This window comes from Homo sapiens, chromosome 9 (assembly GCF_000001405.40).
Source record: "Homo sapiens chromosome 9, GRCh38.p14 Primary Assembly".
In the NCBI taxonomy this organism is placed as follows: Eukaryota; Metazoa; Chordata; class Mammalia; order Primates; family Hominidae; genus Homo; species Homo sapiens.
The window spans coordinates 136817176-136832772 of NC_000009.12; the positions used below are offsets into that span (position 1 = coordinate 136817176).

The following is a 15597-nucleotide window of genomic DNA, read 5'->3' on the forward strand; positions in this document are numbered from 1 at the left end:
AGCTGAAGAGAGGAGCAGTGTTGGGAAGAGATGTGCGGCCCAGGGAGGAGGCGATGCCAGCCCATGTCCAGTACAAGTTCCAGAAGGAGAAGAGAGCAAGAAAGGAGAAAGGGAAGACTGAGGACTTTCCAGAGTTCATGAAATACAGGAAACTCCAAGAAGTCCAGAGTTTAAAAACATCCACAGCTAGATACATCATTGGAAATTTTCAAAACATTAAAAAGTAAACATCTTAGATGCAACCAGAACAAAAAGACTTCCCTGAGAGGAGCATGCAGTGGACTGGTGACCAGCTCGCAGCAAACCTGTGGCTGAGGGGAGGCCGACGTGGGCTGAGGGGAGGCCGACGTGGGCTGTGGGGAGGCCGACGTGGGCTGAGGGGAGGCCGACGTGGGCTGTGGGGAGGCCGACGTGGGCTGAGGGGAGGCCGACGTGGGCTGAGGTCTCTGTCTGATGAGCACTTGAGAGCCGTGTGACTGGCTCCACTTCTGCCGAAGCTTGAGGCTCACTGTGCAAAGGCTCTTTTAGAAATAAATACTGAAGGTTATTCTTCAGAGAGGTGGAGTTGAGCTCGAAACACAGGAGTGGATTTCAAAAAGCAAAGGGGGCCGGGTGCTGGCTCACACTTCTAATTCCAGCACTTTGCGAGGCTGAGGCAGGTGGATCACTTGAGGTCAGGAGTTTGAGTCCAGCCTGGCCAACATGGTGAAACGCTGTCTCTACTGAAAACACAAAAATTAGCCGGGCATGAGGGCAGGCGCCTGTAATCCCAGCTACTCAGGAGGCCGAGGCACAAGAATCGTGTGAACCCGGGAGGCACAAGTTGGAATGAGCTGAGATCGCGCCGCTGCACTCCAGCCTGGGCAACAGAACAAGACTCCATCTCAAAAAAAAAAAAAAAAAAAATGACGGGCACAGTGGCTCACGCCTGTAATCCCAGCACTTTGGGAGGCCGAGGCGGGCAGATCACGAGGTCAGGAGATCAAGACCATCCTGGCTAACACAGTGAAACCTCGTCTCTACTAAAAATACAAAAAATTAGACGGGCGTGGTGGCGGGCGCCTGTAGTCCCAGCTACTTAGGAGGCTGAGGCAGGAGAATGGCGTGAACCCAGGAGACGGAGCTTGCAGTGAGCCGAGATCCCACCACTGCACTCCAGCCTGGGCAACAAAACCAGACTCTGTCTCAAAAAAAAAAAAAAAAAAAAAAAAAAAAAAAAAAAAAAAAAACCAAAGGTAAGCAAAGAAACTGGTAAATATGTGGTGAAAATGAAATAAGTGTTGGTGGGTCAGGTGCGGTGGCTCACACCTGTAATCCCAACACTTTGGGAGGCCAAGGTGGGTGGATCACGAGGTCAGGAGTTCACGACCAGCCTGGCCAACATAGTGAGACCCCATCTCTACTAAAAAAAATACAAAAATTAGCCAGGCATGGTGGTGCGTACCTGTAGTCTCAGCTACTCGAGAGGCTGAGACAGGAGAATCACTTGAACCCGGGAGGTGGAGGTTGCAGTGAGCCAAGACTGCATCATTGCATTCCAGCTTGGGCAACAGAGTGAGACTTAATCAAAAAAAAAAAAGGAAAGAAAAGGAATAAGCGTTGGTTATGTTAATCAGTGGTGATCATGATTTATATAGGGTATATAAAAGAAGAAACTACCAGAAGTAACACAGCCCAGGGTGAAGCTGGACAGTCAAGGCGTTCAGATCTCTATATTATTATTAAGAAGAAGTGTTAACTTCAGACTTCACTGCAGCAGATGTGAGTGTTGAAAACTTAAGGGTTCCCAAAGTGTAGAAACAGGTTGCAAATCTTCCAAATAAATACCAGGTAGAAAGAATACTTTCTGAAAACCACCTTGTCCAGGCCGGGCGCGGTGGCTCACGCCTGTAATCCCAGCACTTTGGGAGGCCAAGGCGAGTGGATCACGAGGTCAGGAGATCGAGACCATCCTGGCTAACATGGTGAAACCCCGTCTCTAATAAAAATACAAAAAATTAGCCGGGCGTGGTGGCGGGCGCCTGTAGTCCCAGCTACTCGGGAGGCTGAGGCAGGAGAATGGCGTGAACCCGGGAGGCGGAGCTTGCAGTGAGCCGAGATGGTGCCACTGCACTCCAGCCTGGGCAGCAGAACGAGACTCCGTCTCAAGAAAAAAAAAAAAAAAAAAAGAAAACCACCTTGTCCAGCTTTAATCAAAGGCATAGAAGGCTGGGGGAGGGGCAAGGGAACCAGAGCTGTAACTAAAAATCATAAAATAACATGGCAGCAGCAGTTGTCAGTAAACAGAACTCACCAGCTCGAAAGAATGTGAGATTCGAGGAATTTTTTTTTCTTTAATTTGGCTATGTGGTGTATAAGAGACACATCCAAAACATAATGGTGTCGAAAGGTTGAAAGTTAGGAGTTGGAAACAAGACACTAGGTAAACATTAACCATAAGAAAGCTGCTCTAGCTATAGTCCTAGTGCTACAGCGACAGTGATGCCATATGCAGAATATACTTCAAAATGAAAGAGAGCGGGTAGAAATGTGAAGGGTTACCGCAGGCTCAGAGAAAGTCTCTGGACCTGAAGGCTCAAGGAACATTGATTAAAGTGGACCATCCTCACTGGTGCCGTGGCTTATACCTGTAATCCCAGCACTTTGGGAGGCCAAGGCAGGAGGATTGCTTGAGCCCAGGAGGTCGAGACCAGCTTGGGCAAAAAGCAAGACCCTGTCTCTAAGAAAAAAATAGTAAAAAAACTAGGCATGGGGTGGTGGCTCACATCTGTAATCCTAGCACTTTAGGAGGCCAAGATGGGCGGATTGCCTGAGCTCAGGAGTTTGAGACCAGCCCGGGCAAAATGGTGAACCCCTGTCTCTACTAAAATACAGAAAATTAGGCATGGCGGCTTGCGCCTGTAGTCCCAGCTACTTGGGAGGCTGAGATGGGAGAATCACTGGAATCCAGTAGGTGGAGGTTGCAGTTAGCTGAGATCACACCACTGCACTCCAGCCTGTGCGGCAGAGTGAGACTCCATCTTCCAAAAAAAAAAAAAAAAAAAAAAAATTAGCTGGCAGATGTCTGTAGTCTGAGCTACTTGGGAGGCTAAGGTGGGAGGATCACTTGAGCCCAGGAGATTGAGGCTGCAGTGAGCTAGGATGGTGCCACTGTGCTGGCTCTAGCCTGGGTGACAGTGAGACCCTGTTTGTAAAAATAATTTTGTTGTTTTTTTTGAGACGGTTCTGTTCTGTTGCCCAGGCTGGAGTGCAGTGGTGTGATCTTGGCTCACTGCAACCTCCACCTCCTGGGGTTAAGCAATTCTCCTGCCTCAGCCTCCTGAGTAGCTGGGATTACAGGTGTCCACCACCACACCCGGCTAATTTTGTATTTTTAGTAGATACGGGGTTTCTCCATGTTGTCCAGGCTGGTCTCGAACTCCTGAGCTCAGGTGATCCGCCCGCCTCGGCCTCCCAAAGTGCTGGGATTAGAGGCGTGAGCCACCGTGCCCGGCCAATAATAATTTTTAAAAAGCAAAAATAAAATCAAAGGAAGGTTTAGAAAATAAAGGGAAAATCTCACAGCAAAATGACAGCTGGTAAATGATATGAAAAAAATAAACAGAGGCTGAGTGTGGGTGTTGCAGTATCCGAATAATATATATTACGAAAAGAGAAAAATATCAATGGAAATTCAAGGAAAAGTGCGGCCAAGACGTCCTTCAGTAGATGAATGGATCAACTCCGTGCATCCAGATGGTGGAACATTATTTAGTCCTGAAAAGATGTTCTCAAGCCGTGGAGAGGCCTGCATGAGCCTTAAGTGCGTATCGCTGAGTGAGAGAAATTATTCTGTGTGACCCCAACTCTCCGACGTTCTGCAGAAGCCAAACTGGCCAGATGCCTGGAATGAGCTCCCCGCGTTCATGAGGGCTGGTTTCCGGCAGTGGCATTGGGAGGCTTTGTTAACATTGGTTCTTGTGCTTGTCTGCCTTGTTTAAGTTCCTTACAAAGAGCATGTGCCATTTTTACAAAATGAAGGAAGTGGGTTCTGTCCCGTAGGGTTGAGGAGCCGAGATGCGGGGACCAAGGGACGTCAGCGCGTTGGTTCTGGCCGCGGGAAAACGGGCGGTCGCTGTGACCGTCTCTGCGCTCTCCGCGTTGCTAACGCCCCACTCCCGGGAAAGACCCGGAGACGGGACCACCGCATGTGGAAACCACCGGGAAGCACAGCGCGTGGGCCGCCTGAGCGGTGCCGGGGCGGGGAGGCAGGGCCGCCGCTCAGGCCGTGGACCTCGGGGCCGCGGGACGGACGTGGATGGCGCCGCCGTTCTCTCGCGGGCCCAGCGAGGCTATGCGTGCGCGGCCCGGGCAGTCTCTGCGAGCCCGGGCTGCTGCTCATCTGGGGGGGACGGCGGCCGCCCGACTGAGCCCAGAGCTGTGGGCCGCGCCCGGGTTCCTGCCTCGGGCCGGAGGAGGGAGGGCGCCGCGGCCCGTCTCGGGCCTCCCGCCGCGCTGGGGCCTGGCTCCCTCCTGGCTGCGCTGAGCGCCTGCGGCTCCGCTTGGGGCTGCTGTGCTCTCCACAGGCCGGGCCGCCGGGCTGGAGGGCGCTGCAGGCGGCCTCTGTTCTCCAAGTTCTCCGCGGGAGAGGGAGGGGAACGAGGGCCCAGCCTTCCGCGGGGTGGGCTCGGCCGGGAGAAGCGCGGAGCCTCCTGGCTGCCCCCAGCCGGTGCGGCCGCCACCGTGGCCGTGAGGGCGCCTGGGTCCCCTCTGGAGGTTTTGCCGCAGCGCTGGCCGGCGCCGAGATATGACCAGAGGCGTTGAAAGTTGGCGCGTTGAGGTACCTAGGATGGGCGAGGAAATGAACAAGCTTCAGGGGAGAAGAAATGACTGTGGGAACAGGTGCCTTGAGGTAGAGGGAGGGGACTGGGCCAGGAGAGAGGAGCCGGGTGGGGCACAGGGACAGCCCAGGGTCCCTCAGAGCTTCGAGGCCGGGCGCCCTCTGCGTTGGGAGCTTGGGGTCCCCCTGACAGAAAACCTGGGGGGGGCGTTGCGGGAGTGAGAGGAGGCTGCAGACCTGACACAGATGGGGGAGCGGGCGGGAGGCCCGAGACCTGGGGAAGTGGGAGGAGCCTGCAGACCTGCTCCTTGGTTGCCTCTGCTCCCCACCAACCCGGCTCCCTTCCCTGGCTTCCCTGGCTCTCCCCTCCTGGAAACGTGGAGGACGGCCAGGGCTTCTCTCTCCCCCGTGCCTGTGGTGGGTTCACCAAGGCCTGTGTGAGAAGCTCTCGGGGTCTGCCCAGGTCCGAGGGCAGCTGTCTCAGTGCTGGCTGCTGCGTCCGCACAGCTTCTCGGTCATTCTCGATCCTGTTCTTCCAGCACCTCCGCAGGCTGGGTGTTCTTAGTCCAGTCGGGTGCCAGGTCCATCCCCATCTCCACCCGTTCTGAGCCACCTCCCGCCTTTGCTAAGTCCGTGCTCCCCTCCCAGCTGCCCTCCCTCCCCCATCACATTTTCAAAACAAGCTGGGCAGTGGCCTCTCCAACCCAGCCCCGGAGCAAGCAGGCCCAGGCCCGGGGCTACCCGGCACACACGCGTTGTGCGTGAGCTGGGATGCAGGCCCCGCGTTCTGCAGAATTGTGCACTGAAGACGCCAGGGCTCGCAGTGGCTCACGTCTGTAATCCCAGCACTTTGGGAGGCCAAGGCGGGCGGATCACGAGGTCAGGAGATCGAGACCACCCTGGCTAACACGGTGAAACCCCGTCTCTACTAAAAATACAAAAAATTAGCTGGACATGGTGGCGGGCGCCTGTAGTCCCAGCTACTCGGGAGGCTGAGACAGGAGAATGGCGTGAACCCGGGAGGTGGAGCTTGCAGTGAGCCGAGATAGCACCACTGCAGTACGGCCTGGGCAAAAAAGCGAGACTCCGTCTCAAAAAAAAAAAAAAAAAGACTCCAGGGCTGCAGAAAACCTGGTTAGGAGCAATCCGCAGAAGCCTGGGGTGCTGTGGAGAGCTCCTCAGGTGGTGGGCCCTGACCCTGAGGGTCACCAGGGGTCCCAGGGGTGGGCTCTAGGGCAGAACCACGTCCTCCAAGTAGAAAGCCTGACCTGGCTCCAAGTAGAAAGCTGCCCCCTGGGCCCGGTTCGCCGTTGATGCTCTGTGTGCTGCCAGGTGTCCTCCTGATGGGAGAGGTTGCCATGGTACCCACCCATCGTCTTCCTCCCCTGCCTGCCGGTCACCTGGTCTGATTCTAGCAAGAAAGATGAAACAGGTGGCAGCAGAACCGGCTCTCCTTGTAGTTGCTCTTAAAGCTGCAGCTTGGGTTCGGTTCGTTTAATTTGCCTTTTCTTTTTCTCTTCCCGTCCCCAGTGAAGATAGTGATCCGGGGAGACAGGAACACGGGCAAGACAGCGCTGTGGCACCGCCTGCAGGGCCGGCCGTTCGTGGAGGAGTACATCCCCACACAGGAGATCCAGGTCACCAGCATCCACTGGAGCTACAAGAGTAAGTGTGGTGGGTGCCCCAGTGGGTTCGGGCTCCAGGCTTCTCCTCCCTCAGCCCTGGTTCCTGGGAGATGCATTCCCCAGAGGGGGTCTCCCCGAAGAGTTCTTGTCTGTGAGGGACCCTGCTGACGTGGGGGCCCTGGCGTGAACTCTGGGGCTCTTTTGGGGTGGATCACCCTGCTGCCTGAGTGAGCTTCATGAAGCCCCACTGACCTGGGAGGCTCAGCTTGGGGCAGCGTTGGCCGCAGGTGAGTGGGCACGCGGGCGCCTCGGGGGCTGAAAAGAGGTACATTCCGAGGAGCATTCCCTTGCCTGCACCCTCTTGGTGCACATGGTATTTTTTCTTGGGCCCCAGCCCGACATCTTCTCCACCACCAGAAACAGTAATAAGACCTTTGTTTGAGCCTTGCCCTTGTGGAAAGTTCGTGTCACTAAAAGGTTCAGTGAGGTGGGCTTGATGGTGGGATAGACCCCTCCCCCAGGTCTCAATTGGGTGTGGGTGGGCTGGGCCTGGGTAGATGCGGGAAGGTGGGGGAGGTGACAGCTGTGGCGAGGCTCCTGCTGTGGGAGGCAGAGCAGCTGCCCTGTGTGTTCAGAATCGTGACAGCAAAAAGCCTTGGGGCTGGTTTTTTTGTTTGTTTGTTCGTTTGTTTTTTGGTTTGGTTGGGTTTTTTTTTTTTTTTTTTTTTTTTGAGACAGAGTCTCACTGTCGCCCAGACTGGAATGCAGTGGTGAGATCTCGGCTCACTGGAACCTCCGCCTCCCGGGTTCAAGCAATTCTCTGCCTCAGCCTCCTGAGTAGCTGGGATTACAGGCGCCCGCCACCACACCCAGCTAATTATTTGTATTTTTAGTAGAGACGGGGTTTCACCATCTTGGCCAGGCTGGCCTTGAACTCCTGACCACGTGATTCACCCACGTTGGGCTCCCAAAGTGCTGGGATTATAGGCGTGAGCCACCACTCCCACCCAGGGCTGTTTTAAACACCTTTCCTTTTCACTGCAAAAAAAAAAAAACTAGTGGGTTACTAGTGGGAGGCAAAGATGAGTTTGAGCTGCCACGTGGTGACAGCTGACACTTGGACTGCTGTGCAGGAACAGCCGTGGAGTTGCTGGGCATCTGCTGCTCTCTAGGGCCTGGGAGGGTGGTGCTGGGCTGACAGGACACAGAGCCCACAGGGCCGGCGCACAGAAGCTCTACCTGCCACCGCACCCTCTTCCTGGTTTGGGGTGAGGCTGATGGCAGCGTTCATGCCCCTCTGCTCAGGCGACGTGGATGTGATTGGTGTGGGGGCAGATGCCTGGCTGTGTGAGGGCCCCGGGCGTGCCTCTCCCCTCTGGTTCTCCCTTCCCCTTGGAATCCTTGGGTGGGCGGGAGGCTCCATCCATCAGCTCCCCCAGTCCCCAGCACGCCCCACAACAGAGCACAGTCATGGGAGCTCAGGAGGAGTGGTTGGCACCAGCAGGCCCAGCTGCGATGGTGCGGTGTGAGGCAGGCCTGGGGCCTCTCAGGTGGCTCCGAAGGGAGGGTCCGGCCTCCGCCCTCAGTGATTACTTAGATTCTGCTCCCTCAAAGTGAACTAGAGGCCAGTCACTGGATGAAGAAACAGGGTCAGAAGGTGACACAGGCGGGCCCATTCATTCGCACCTGTCAGCAGAAGCGTACTCCATGGGCAAAAACACAGACATCGACCCAGCCAGGAGGGTCCCCTTCCAGTATGCTGAGGCCAGGAGGGGCCGTGCCCAGGATCGGGGCCCGGGAGGGAGGGGCCGTGCCCAGGATCGGGGCCGGGGAGGGAGGGGCCGTGCCCAGGATCGGGGCCCTGGAGGGAGGGGCCGTGCCCAGGATCGGGGCCCGGGAGGGAGGGGCCGTGCCCAGGATTGGGGCTGCGGAGGGAGATACCGTGCATTCAGTTTGTCACTGAAGCTGTGTCTGAGCGAAGGCCTGAAGGAGCCGCCATGTGGTCGTCTGGGGAGGACACATCCCCTGCTTCTGGACACTCGGAAGTCCTGGTGGGAGCCGGTGGCTGCGGGGCACAGACAACCACACCAGCTGGACCGCTTTGTGCCACCTTGGGAACTTCATGTTGGGCACTAATTTTAGGATTCTCCCTGTTTCAGCCACGGATGACATCGTGAAGGTTGAAGTCTGGGATGTAGTAGACAAAGGTGAGGCGTCTCTGTTCTGTGTCTGCTTCTCTCTGGGACTGTGTGCTCTGCGCAGAGAGGCTTCCTTTCTTTCCCCCGGCGCCCATGCATCACCCACCATCCTCGTGGACGGTGCCCAGGGTCTTGCTGCTCTGCTCCCCTCCACATCCAGTGGCGACCCCGCAGCGTGGCGCAGCCCCTCCTGTGGCACTGCATGCTTTGCTGCTTTAGCATACTCCCCGTCTCTGAGTGACCGCGTGCACGGTGGCGGCAGGTGCAGCCGGGGGGTGTGCTTTGAGCCCCAAGGCCCAGGGTGCTATTTTGGGAGCCCTCCTCCTGCACTGCCTGGCGGAGTAGCCCAGCACCAGGCGGCCCCCTGCCCATAGCTGAGGACCCAGCTCCTGCGCTCCTGTCCCTGCCAGGGATCCCCAGCCACACAGACCTGCACTCTGGGGACCGTGGGAGGGCAGCACCAGCCCCCGGGGTGTCCTCGACATCGTTGGTCTCCTCCTCAGCCACAAGGTCATGAGTTCCTCTAAGTCCTCAGGGTGGAGCTCATGGCCCTCCCCGGGGCCCATGGTCCGTGTGCATGTGTGGTGTGTGCAGGGCTGGCCACGTGCACGCCCCGGCCTCACAGGCCTGGCTGTGGCCTCGTTACGAGGCTCTGCTGGAAAGGCGGCCGCCGCCTCTGTGTGATGGTGTCTGTTCGGATGGCGCATGCTCCCCTCCCTCCACCTGTGCTTTGTTGGGGTGGGTTTGGCCATGGGGGGTTAGAGGCAGGTGCTCATGCAGTTCCCGCAGGGGTGCTGGGCCCCTGCGGCTCCCACCACATTGCGCTGGACTCTTGTGGCCCGTGCTGACCTGGTGTTCCAGATGCTGTCTCTGCAGAGCTCTGCGTGGTCTCTGGTGTTAGAGAGGTGGCCACCCACCGCCCTATCATTGTCCTCATCCCCACTGTGAGGAGAAGCTATCAGATCTGCCTGTGGCCCCCAGGTGGCTCAGGAAGGGCCGTCCTGACCCCCATCCTGGCCCCTTTCGGAGCTGCAGAGATTTCCTGTGCCTCCAGCTCTGGCTTCCTGGGTCTGTCCTTGGCGTGGAGCGGGCACAGGCTTCCCGTAGACACGGTTGCCCAGAGTGGGGTTCATAACTGGGCACTGTAAAGGGTGTGGTCTCCACGGCTTAGGATGGGCCCCCCCTTCCTGGTGGCCTGCTGTGCCCGGGGCTGGTGTGGAGGCCTGTGGGTGCAGAGGCCGCCTGGCCCTGGGCTTCCTCTGGGGTTACATGTGTACCCTTGCACCCACCTGTTAGCACCCACCGGGAGAGTCTCACTCAGCCTAAACCAGGGCCCCTCAGGAGGAAAAGGTCCCCAGCTTCATGATGGGGCCCAGTGTGCCTTCCATCCCCGCCCTGACTCAGTGCCCACTGTGCGAGGTGTGAGCACTGTCCACAGCAGCCAGGGCGGCCGGTGGGGAGTGCATTGGAGGGGGTTGAGGTCTCTTGGGCACCTGGTGAGTTCTCAAGGGTGAGAGGAAGCCGAGGCCATCAGGCTTAGCTGACGCTGCATGGGGCAGGCTGCCAAGAGGGAGGCTGAATGGAGCAGCCTCAGGTGAGCCGACAATCCTCACCTCCGCCTGGTCAGCCAGGACCCGGCTCCCCTCCAGTCCCGCCTGCTTTCCCCAAAGCAGATCCAGCCAGTCTCAATGGCTCGCCCGGGGGGTGCTGGTTAGGCTGTGAGCATCCTTCCTGGGTGCAGGCCCCCGACAGCCAGCAGTGCTGTGCTGTGTGTGTGTTGGGGACTCTGCTGAGCCCTTTGTGGCCAGACTGGGGAGGCTCCTCCGGGCTGGCTCTGTCCCCTGTACCTTGTGAGGGAGGGGCTGACCCCCTGACTGGGTTACATCGTGGTGAGCAGTTCAGAAACAAGCTGTGGAATGAAGTGGACGTGGCGTTTTAAACACATGAGCCCCATCTGTTCTTAGGGGTTTTGTTTGTTGTCCCAGTCCGTGACTCCAAGACTGGGACCCCCAGAGTTCCCAGGATGGTCTGGAGCCTTTATCCTCAGGTCAGCATTGTGGAGTTAAAGGGAGGGGACCACGGCCCCTCATTCTCAGGAGAGCCATGGTGACCTTGATGGCGGAGGCTCAGGGGGACCTGGACCGTGGACACCACACAGCTGCCCTCCTCCCTCCCGAGGCCATTTCAGGGCTGGAATCCCTGCCCCCCTCTCCTTTCCTCCCGGGCTGGTTGTTGCCTTGAGAGTCCGTGCGCTCATCTCCCCACTTTTACCCCAGGGGGAGGCCCCTCACCTTCCCACCATATCCCTTGTACTTCCTCCCACCCTGGACTTGGGGGAGCTGGGGGGAGGGGGCCCTTCCTTCAGCAGCAAACCCTCCTGGTGTAGGGCTGTAGGCCATCCCACCGCAGCCTGTCCAGGAGCTGCTGAGCCTGTCAGCCCCAACTAGCACCTCCTGTCCAGGCCCGGCCCAGCCCTGCCTCCAGAGCCTACAGAGGGGCCTCGCCCAGGTCCTGCTGCTCCAGAGCTTGTGGGTGCCCACGCTGCAGGCTGTTTGGGGTGGTGGAGTAGAGCACCCGCTGGAGCTGGGGGCTGAGTGGCCATGGGGGGACCATGCTCCTCCTATGGCCCAAGGCCCAGGGGTTCCACCTCGTAATTTTTGTTTGTTTTTAAATAAGGAAAATGCAAAAAGCGAGGCGACGGCTTAAAGATGGAGAACGACCCCCAGGAGGTGAGTGCCAGGTACACAGTGGGTAGCAGTGGCTCAGGGCCCCGGGGTGCGTGAGCCGGTGCCCAGCGCTTCACACGCTTTTGACCCCAACCACCCCAGTTATGCTGTGGCCACGGGGGCCGCTGGCCTTCCCAACTGCTCTGAAAACCCCACACTGCCATGGCTGTATCTGGGGGTGGCCGGCTCACCTGCACTCGACAGACATCACGTTGGACTGACCCCTATTTGCATTTGAGTGACCTGAGAGGTATTTAAGTGAACTCGCCAAACTTTTATCCCAGTCTCGGTGGGCTCGGCCCTTCAAAGCACAGGACACATCTCGCAGCGCCATGGGCGTGAGTTTCGCTCACCGGAGCCACCTGGGGCCAACCCAACCTGAGCCCGACACACCCAGGGCCTCGCACTCTCCGTGCGGTGCCTCCCACTCCCTTTAGAGCATGGGGTGGAGTGACTCTGCCCACAGCACTGCAGCTAACCCTGTTTGTGGGCACTGGAACCTTCCGGAACGCACATCTAGCTGAGGGCAGCTGGTAGTCCAGCACCCACTTCTATTTTCGAGTGGTGGTTTGGTTATCCGTGAGGCCTGGGGCGGACACTGCTGTGATCAGTGGGAGGTCCTGGGTAGGAGGCTTGTTCAGGGAGCCATCAGCGAGGCTGGTGTTGACCGTCAGACCCTTTGGGGCAAACCTATGTTTAGCTATCCCATCTCTTCAGCATATCGTTTCCAAATGGAAATGGCTGTTATCTTTTCAGATTAGAAGACTATCCAGCCTTTTCTAAAACTGTGGGCCACACGGGTGGGGCCCAGCCTGGGCCAGTCTCACACCTGTTCCCTCCTGTCCCCAGGCGGAGTCTGAAATGGCCCTGGATGCTGAGTTCCTGGACGTGTACAAGAACTGCAACGGGGTGGTCATGATGTTCGACATTACCAAGCAGTGGTAAGAGGGAGCTGGCGGGGGCAGCTGCCTGTGACTCTCACCCCCCTAGCCCCTTGGGCGCCCTCTTTGTGCAGCAGATAATGGTTAGAGCAGCATCGTTCTGCAGGACCGAGGGACTCTTGCTGGGCAGCTGTGGCAGCTCAGCCACAAGGGGCACTGGCCTGGATGTCGGGCTGGGCAACGACTATGCCTGTGCCTATGGGGCGGGATGGCGTGGGCCGGCTGCAAAAGGCATCTGGGGCAAGGCACGCACCTTCCATAGCCCCACTGTTCTTCCTGAAAACCCATCTGAGACTTGGCGGAAGCAAGTGGCTGCTTGTGCTGGGGGCTCCCCGCGACCTCCGTCTTCATGACCTAGGAGGACCCACAGCCAAGATTCATTCTAGCAAGAAGATGACAGCGAAATCAGCTAAGGGCAGTGGCACACAGGACGATCTCTGGGGGACCAGGCGCAAGCCCCCAGAGTCCACTGTGGAGTCGCATGGGATCCACTCAGCTCCTCAGGAGTGCAGTGTCCCCCAGGACGCACCGGAGCCCCAGCGGGGGGGTGCTGCGGACGCACACTTGGCACAAGGCTCCTAGAAGAACGAGGGCCGCGTGAAGACCAGTGTCCTGGTGCAGGGCCCCTCCTAGCCACAGCCAGTGCCCGGAGCACCAGGAGCAGCATGCCCGACACGTCCAGGCATCTGCTCTTCCCAGCAGTGGGTCTGGCCTGGGGGCCTAGTCAGCAGCTTCTCTTACTTGGGAAGACCCCCACACCAGGGTTAAGCGTACCGCCTGTCACGGGGCCGCACACTCAGCACGCATCAGCAGCCCAGGCCTGAGGGCGGCTTGAAGCACCTGACCAGCCATGCTCTGGGCCTCTGCCAACCTTTGCCAATGCTGGGAACCATGCCTGCCCTCCCAGCCTTCAGCACCACCACCAAGGACTGACCGCAGGCACCCTCAGGAGAGCCCTCGGTGGGGGTGTGGCACACGGATGGCAGGAGAACCACACACGGGGCTGGCGGCCCCACCCCAGGGCACGAGTTCAGCTCGGGCGCACACGCTGGCCTCACCTGGGCGAGCAGTGGTGCTCCTCTCCCTCCGGCCTCTCCTGTCTAGGCAGCAGGCCAGCCTGGTGGGTGGGAAGTGGCTTTTCCCAAGCGAAGTTGAGTGTGGACACAGTGTGGCCTCCACGGCACCTCCCACTGCTGCCACAGGAACGGCCTGGAGGGAGCTGCAGCCGCCTGGGCTGCCGTGCGAGGAGTGGGCGGGAGTGACAGCGAGACTTGAGCCAGCCTGAGAAGACGCGGCAAAGGCGCTTACCTGTGGGCCCGGAGACCCTGTTGGCAGCACCAGCCTGGGCAGGCGATGCCTATGGTAGCAATGCTCTGTCTGGAGCCCCTGGTGCCCAGCAGGAAGGATGGAAAACACTGGCTCAGACAGCGGCTTCAAGCACCACGCAGGCCCTTCACAGCCACGAGAGGCAGGAGACACCAGAAGGCCACCTGCTTAGGAGGCCAGAGGTGCCCCTGGGCCGGCCTTGGTGAGGGGCCCGTTTAAATGACTGCGTGTAAATGAAAGAAAATGAAGTTAGAAACAGGATGTTGCATTTTTTACTCCCTTATGTTGGCTTTCAGTCGTGGGGAAGTTTTGTCACTTGAAGCGCTGGTTATTTCTTCACAAGCCATTTGGAAAACCACGCAGCTGGGAAACTGGCAGTTCCACGCCAGGCAGACTCTGGAGACTTGCCGTCCGTGCCAGGAGATGTCTGCTTAAGACAAGGCTCTCCAAACAGCCCGCTTCACCGGCAGCCGCAGAGGCACCCCAGGGTGTCCTCGGCTGCCCCGGTGGGCAGGGAGCCTGGAGGACCAGCCACAGGGTCGACACCAAGGGGCACAGAGGACAGTGCGGAATGAGGGTGGACACAGATGAAGCCAGAGGTGGTTTTGTAGGGATGCGGACATGGGGTGCTCTGAGGGAAGGCAGGGACAGGCAGGGGCGTTCCAGTGTGGGGTGCGGTCAAGTACCTGCCGTCAGGGAGAGGGACGGGCGGGGGCTGCAGGCTGAGGGGTGCGAAGGCCCTCGAGGCACTTCCCTCTAGCTCTGCATGCACGAGGCATGCTTCTGCTGGGTTGGATGTTGGAAATGAGAAGCAGCCACCATCCTCGGGCCTGGGCGCACAGCACCTTTCCAGGGAGGGACAGGGCGTCGCAGGGCTGAAACTAAGCCAGGTCCTCACCTGTTCTCCGAGGACCTTCAATTACATTCTCCGGGAGCTTCCAAAAGTGCCCACCCACGTGCCAGTGTGCGTGCTGGGAAACTACCGGGACATGGGCGAGCACCGAGTCATCCTGCCGGACGACGTGCGTGACTTCATCGACAACCTGGACAGGTGGGTGCGGTGGCCCTGCTCCCGAGGGACCCTGCCCGGTGCTCCGGTGTGCGGGGGAGGGTGCTGAGGCAGAGGCCCAGGGAGGGGTTAACGTTAGCATGGGGCCCGGCGGATGTGGGTCTCGCCGCTGAGTGGGGCTCACTGAAGCCTGGGTCTCCCCGATGGCAGGGCCGGGAACTGTGTGCTGGGGAACTGTGTGCCAGGGTGAAGTGCTGGCACTGTGGGGTCACCTGCAGAAGGGCACTCGGCTTAGCTGCTTAGCAGGGCTCAGCAGGGTCCTGTGGCCTCAGGAGCCTGCAGGAGGAGGGAGGGCAGTGCGGACCCACAGCTGTGGGCCCAGGGGTGATCCTTGGCACCAGGGCAAGGGTCTTTCTCTTGCATCTTTTTTCCTTTCTGAAAGCAGACCTCCAGGTTCCTCCTACTTCCGCTATGCTGAGTCTTCCATGAAGAACAGCTTCGGCCTAAAGTACCTTCATAAGTTCTTCAATATCCCATTTTTGCAGCTTCAGGTAAGCACTCACCACGTGGGGTGGAGTGGCTGCTGGTCTCTCACCTCCTTCCAGGTGTCTCCTGTGTAGCAACGGGTCTCCCTCCTAACCCCTGAGAAAGCTGTGGACCTGCTCGGAGATTGGCTGCTGGCAAGGGCCCAGCGTTCTACTGCACCTGCCTGCTCTGGGTGGCAGAGGGTACAGGGTCCTGAGGGCTAGACCCAGTCCCAGGAGCCCCTCCACCTCTGCGGGGACCCCTTGCTCAGTTTCCCCCAGTGTTTTTGGTTGTTTTTGTTTGTTGAGATAAGGTCTTGCTGTGTGGCCCAGGCTGGAGTGCAGTGGCGCAATCATGGCTCACTGCGGCCTCAAACTCCGGGGCTCAGGCAATCCTCCCACCTGTCTCCCAAAGTGCTGGGATGCCAG

At 58.6% G+C, this 15597-nt stretch overlaps 1 protein-coding gene and 1 non-coding gene across 4 annotated transcripts in view, besides 1 other annotated feature; both read left to right on the plus strand.

Annotated features, from left to right (window-relative positions):
* The window catches only part of RABL6 (RAB, member RAS oncogene family like 6), a 33240-nt gene that overhangs the window by 9228 nt on the left and 8415 nt on the right, over nucleotides 1–15597 (plus strand). For 2 of the 3 annotated variants that reach the window (NM_024718.5, NM_001173989.4), the window contains exons 2-7: nucleotides 6350–6484; nucleotides 8604–8651; nucleotides 11319–11371; nucleotides 12218–12309; nucleotides 14546–14686; nucleotides 15090–15195. In NM_024718.5, coding sequence (NP_078994.3) covers nucleotides 6350–6484; nucleotides 8604–8651; nucleotides 11319–11371; nucleotides 12218–12309; nucleotides 14546–14686; nucleotides 15090–15195 — 575 coding nt within the window. Of the gene's footprint in view, nucleotides 1–6349; nucleotides 6485–8603; nucleotides 8652–11318; nucleotides 11372–12217; nucleotides 12310–14545; nucleotides 14687–15086; nucleotides 15196–15597 lie in introns of all 3 variants that reach the window. The other variant, NM_001173988.2, reaches the window with a different exon arrangement.
* Nucleotides 5116–6004: an enhancer, noted in NCBI's record as "H3K4me1 hESC enhancer chr9:139716743-139717631 (GRCh37/hg19 assembly coordinates)". NCBI's record gives its function as "activates a minimal SCP1, AML or CMV promoter by ChIP-STARR-seq in primed H9 embryonic stem cells {active_cell/tissue: H9 hESC(primed)}" and the evidence as "EXISTENCE:reporter gene assay evidence [ECO:0000049][PMID:30033119]".
* MIR4292 (microRNA 4292) lies at nucleotides 13782–13848 on the plus strand. Its single transcript, NR_036251.1, has one exon. It is a non-coding gene; the product is annotated as a microRNA 4292 (primary transcript).